Source organism: Homo sapiens, chromosome X, assembly GCF_000001405.40.
Source record: "Homo sapiens chromosome X, GRCh38.p14 Primary Assembly".
In the NCBI taxonomy this organism is placed as follows: Eukaryota; Metazoa; Chordata; class Mammalia; order Primates; family Hominidae; genus Homo; species Homo sapiens.
In genome coordinates, this window is record NC_000023.11 from 136,637,943 (window position 1) to 136,642,838 (window position 4,896).

General features: G+C 45.7%; 1 long non-coding RNA gene across 2 annotated transcripts; it reads left to right on the top strand.

Annotated features, from left to right (window-relative positions):
* Positions 1-1,600: 1,600 nt before the first annotated feature.
* LINC00892 (long intergenic non-protein coding RNA 892) lies at positions 1,601-4,487 on the top strand. 2 transcript variants are annotated; one of them, NR_038461.1, is made up of 3 exons: positions 1,601-1,862; positions 2,832-2,931; positions 4,161-4,487. It is a non-coding gene; the product is annotated as a long intergenic non-protein coding RNA 892 (long non-coding RNA). The 2 variants fall into 2 exon arrangements; NR_038462.1 differs by having other exon boundaries at positions 2,832-2,898.
* The last annotated feature ends 409 nt before the right edge of the window (positions 4,488-4,896 follow it).

Here is a 4,896-nt window from a genome sequence, read left to right on the forward strand (position 1 = left end):
TGCTGATGAACATCTTTCTGCTCAGGTCATGATTGGAGCAGCATTTCAAAAGATGGAGCCACTTTCTTCTACAGAAGTGTTGTATTAGTTTCCAAGGGCTGCCATAACAAATTACCACAAACTGGGGAGCTTAAAATGATAGAAATGTATTCTTTCACAGTCCTGGAGGCCAGAAGTCTGAACTTGAAGGTGTTGGTAGGGCCATGCTCTCTCTAAAGGATCTAGGGGAGGGTCTTTCCTTGTTTCTTCCTAGCTTTTAATGGTTGCCAGCAATCCTTGATGTTCTGCGGCTTGTAGACACATCTCTCCAATCCCTGCCTCTGTTTTTGCATGGCTGTTTTCCCTCTGTGTTTGTCTGTGTTCAAATTTCCCTCTTCTTATAAGATCACTAGTCATTGAATTAGGGCCCACCTTAATTCAGTTTGACCTTATATTAATTTCACTAATTACATTTACAAAGTATTTCCCCCCCAAAAAAGTCACATTCACAGGTGCCACATGGGCATGAATTTGGGGAGGGGAACACTGTTCAACCCAGAACAGATATCAACCCTACTGCTTATTTGAAACTGCTTCAGATGTGGTTGGTTCCCCGATGTCAGGGGAGAGAGAGGGCTCCAGGCATCAGCCACCCTGTGACAAGGAGTACCAGGACATCCTTCTCCTCAAAGTCAGAAAACATCCTGATGTCAAAGATACGGGCTATTGAGTTATATGTGGAAGTGCTCTAGTGGAAACTGTCCCAGGTCCACGCTTACCAAGATGGCGCAGTTCACCATGGGGCACTGTGATGAAGAAAGATTCCCAACTCCACTTATTCACAGGGGAACACCCGTGCCACAATAGCTATCAAAGGTTGTGGTAATTGTTTTCCAATTATCTACCTGTGGGCAAAAATTAACATGGGTGCAGAGCATGGAGGGGAACTTTTAGCTACTACTCATAAGCACTTTAGGGACACTCTCAACTTATTTTTACAAAACTGGAACTGGGCCGGTTGCAGTGGCTCACACCTGTAATCCCAGCACTTTGGGAGACCGAGGCAGGCGGATCGCCTGAGGTTAGGAGTTCAAGACCAACCTGGCCAACATGGCAAAACCCCGTCTCTACTAAAAGTACAAAAATTAGCTGGGCGTGGTGGCAGGTGCCTGTAATCCCAGCTACTCAGGAGGCTGAGGCCGGAGAATCGCTTGAACCTAGGAGGCAGAGGTTGCAGTGAGCCGAGATCATGCCACTGCACTCCAGCCTGGGCAACAAGAGTGGAACTCTGTCAAAAAAAAAAAAAAAAAAAAAAAACTGGGGACATCCTATTTCTGCCATGATATTTGCACTATCAGTGTATCACAGGGGTCCTTCTAAGCCAGTAATATACTTCTGTACCAAAATGTATTTAACTAGTAATCCTAAATCTTTTGATAAAGCCCTTCCATTTCTCTTCCACCCCTGTGGTCCCTGTGGTACATCTTGTGCTGAAAGATTACCTTCTACTCAAATCTTAACTATTTTACTGAATCTCTCCACCTCCTTTTGCACCCCTTGACTCAGCCAGGAAAAAAATATATATATATATATATTTCCTGCCCCTGGCGTTTCCTTAATCAGATGCAGACATGGCTGGATGTTCTTTGCTGGGCTGCTGAGTCAGAAGCCTGGACGGGCCAGCTTCAGTTTTAATGAAGTGGCTCAGGAAGGAAGTGCTAACAGAGATGGGTGCACAGTGCAGTCAGTGGGTGGGAGCTGATGCTGGCTAGAAGACCTGAGTCTTCCGAGAGGCAGCTTGATTCCTGGAAAAGACTACTGGGCTGGAAGTCAGGAGGCCTGGGGTACTCTCAGCTCTGCCGCTAACATGCTGCATGACCATGGTAAGTCATTGCCTTTCTCCGAGCCTCAGTGAGAAACAGCGGGCCTGGCCCCAGAAGACACTGTGGGAGAACTAGAGGTCTTCTGCGTCAGGCCCCCACTAAGAAGGCAGTCTCCTGTGAGGATACCTAAGAGATGAGTTAGAAGCAGAGGGCACATTTCACAAACAGCCCCCAAGGGGTTGTCAGGAACAGACCACAGGAAGAATCAGAGAGACAGAAATTGCCCAAGCCTGTGGTCTGAACTGAAGAGGGCAGCCTGGAGGACACCAGTTAGAAGTTGGAAAGAGAGAGAGAGAGCCCTGAATGAGTTAAGTCAAGAAGAAGGATCATGGTAGAGGTAAATTGCAGGGTAGGCGGGGAAAGGCTGTGGAGAGGGGTTTCTGGGCAGTGGAGCCAGGAGCTAGCCTACTAAAGTCCTGGAGCTCTAGGGGAGATGCAGAAAGCAGGCTGAGGCCAGGCATGGTGGCTCACGCCTGTAATCCCAACAGTTTGGGAGACCAAGGTGGGCAGATCACTTGAGGCCAGAAGTTCCAGACCAGCCTGGCCAGCGTGGTGAAACCCTGTCTCTACTAAAAATACAAAAATGAGCCAGGCGTGGTGTGCATACCTGTAATCCCAGCTACTCAGGAGGCTGAGACATGAGAATCACTTGAACCTGGGAGATGGAGATTGCAGTGAGCAGAGATCGCGCCATTGCACTCTAGCCTGGCGACGCAGCAAGACTCTGTCTCAAAAAAAAAAAAAAAAAAAAAAGGCAGGCTGAGACTAGAGCAAGGGAGGTTTAAAAAAATGGACTAGAACCACACAGACAAGTCTTAAATGTTCAATCATGTCAGGCTGATATTTGAAGGAAAACAGGTGCCAACTATGTGCCCACCTGCAGAGCATGCCATCCCTGAGACCCTTCACCGTGGAAGAAAGGGAACTTTTTGTTCTATAAACACCTGATATTTCATGTTCCACATTAAGGGCTGACTGGAGAACCTGAGGTGCTGTGCAGAGACCAGAGGAAGGCTTTGATCCCAAGCCTGCAGCCGTAAGAGAAGAACGAGCCCATGAGTTCCAGCCTGTGGGTCCTTCCACATGCTAGTTCCTGTACCTGGAATGTATTCTTTCCTGACCCAGAAAATTCCTTCAGGGCTTCCTCTTCCAGGAAGTCTTCCCTGAGTCTGTCACCTCTTCACCCTCACTCCTTCTGCATGCTCCCAAAATCCCCTGCACTTCTCTACTGTGGATGCTTACCCAGTGCACTGTGGTCCACTCTGGCTTTTGTATCTCCTTAACTAGCAGCTCTGTCTTTTTCATTTTGGATTCCCAGACCTATCAGAGAGCCTAGTGCTTGCCAAATGCTGGGAAAATACTTATTGAAAGGATATTGACTACTCGGTGTTAGCCACAAGGCCCCTCGGACAGTCTTGCCATAGGAAACATCAATGGGAGAACCTTTTGGAATATATAGAGAGATGCTGTGGGGAACTTATGGGTTTGTTTTTTTTGTTGTTGTTTGTTTGTTTGGCTAAACTCACAGCAATAGGTGTTAGAGTCATACAAGGGTTACAATAGCACCCAAGAGCCCACTTATGACTAGAAATTTCTTCCAGAATTCCCTTCAAAGCATGACTCTCCTGCTGTGTTTGGGGTGGGGAGTGTGTGGCAGTGGCGAGGGGACACAATCCTGCCTCTAGGATACAACTCTGGAGTGGATATGTGCCAAGAAAGCTCACCTTGGGGACCTGGGATGGAGGTAGGCATCTGGTAGAAAGGGAGAGTGAGGATTCTGGGCACACTATGAAAACTAATACCAGAAACCAGATCAAGACACCCAACATCCCCATTCCCAACCACACTCATCTATGCTGGAGGTGATTATCCCCACGCCCCTCCTATGTTACTCTTCCTGAGCCATTGGAGTGCCAGAATAAACATAACCAACTAGAAGACTTCTGCAGAATGGAAAAGGATGGAAGATTCCAGACTAGAAAGGCCAAGGACAGCAGATGGACACTGAATGTTGAGATTTGTCAGTGGAGTGCTGCAAGACAGGATGCAAAGTTATGACAGGTGTCTTTGCTTCTAGAGAGGCTTCGCAGACATGCATTCTATCCCACCCCACCCCGCCCCACCCCCTGGGTGTGTAGGTACTCCTCCTTCTTGTTCCCACAGCACTCTGTGTTCACTTCTACAGTGGTGCTTTTCACACTGTTTATGATTGTCTGTCTGCTCATGTATTGGTCAGCTTCTCTGAACTGGAAACTCCTGGCAAAGCAGGGACTATCATCTTTTTCTTTGTATCCCCAGGGTCCAGCTCAGCACCTGGCTCACATTAGGCACTCAGTGAATGTTGATGTGAACAAATGAACTGATTCAAAGAAGTGTCTCCTGAAGTTGCTTCTTTCCAATCCAGCTAACAAATGCAGTATTCTGAATGGAGGTACCAGAGATCACGTCATCTTCAGCTTTCTGCTGCAGATCCACATGAAGAATCACACATATCCTTAATGTTAGATAGGACTTTGCATTGAACACTTTAAAATGTGAAGTCTGGCTTTGAAGAGGGTGTATAACACACATAATTTACTGTGCATCAGTCTCACTAATGGAAAATAAACAATAACCCATAAATCATCTTTCTTCAAGTGTAATGTGTTTAGGTTAAAAGTTGATTGGTCAGTGTTAAAATATATGTAAATTTTAGCCTTCCAGATCCCATGAAAATGTCTGAAAAAAAACTTTTAAAAATGAGTAGTACAAGGTTATTTGTTACAGCATTTAAAAATATCATATGATTGGAAACAACCTAAATGTTCATCAATAGGGGACTAGTTAAATAATTTATGGTACATCATCATTCATGTAATGGGACACTATGAAGTTGTAAAAAAACAGAGAATAAGGAAGTGTTTTGCTGACATAGAACAATCTCCAAGACACATTGTTAAGATGTAGAACAATGTGTTATATACTGCTGGGTGTTAAAAGGCTGAAAGGGAATATCTATGTATTTGCTTGAATGTGCATAAAAGCATCCCAGGAA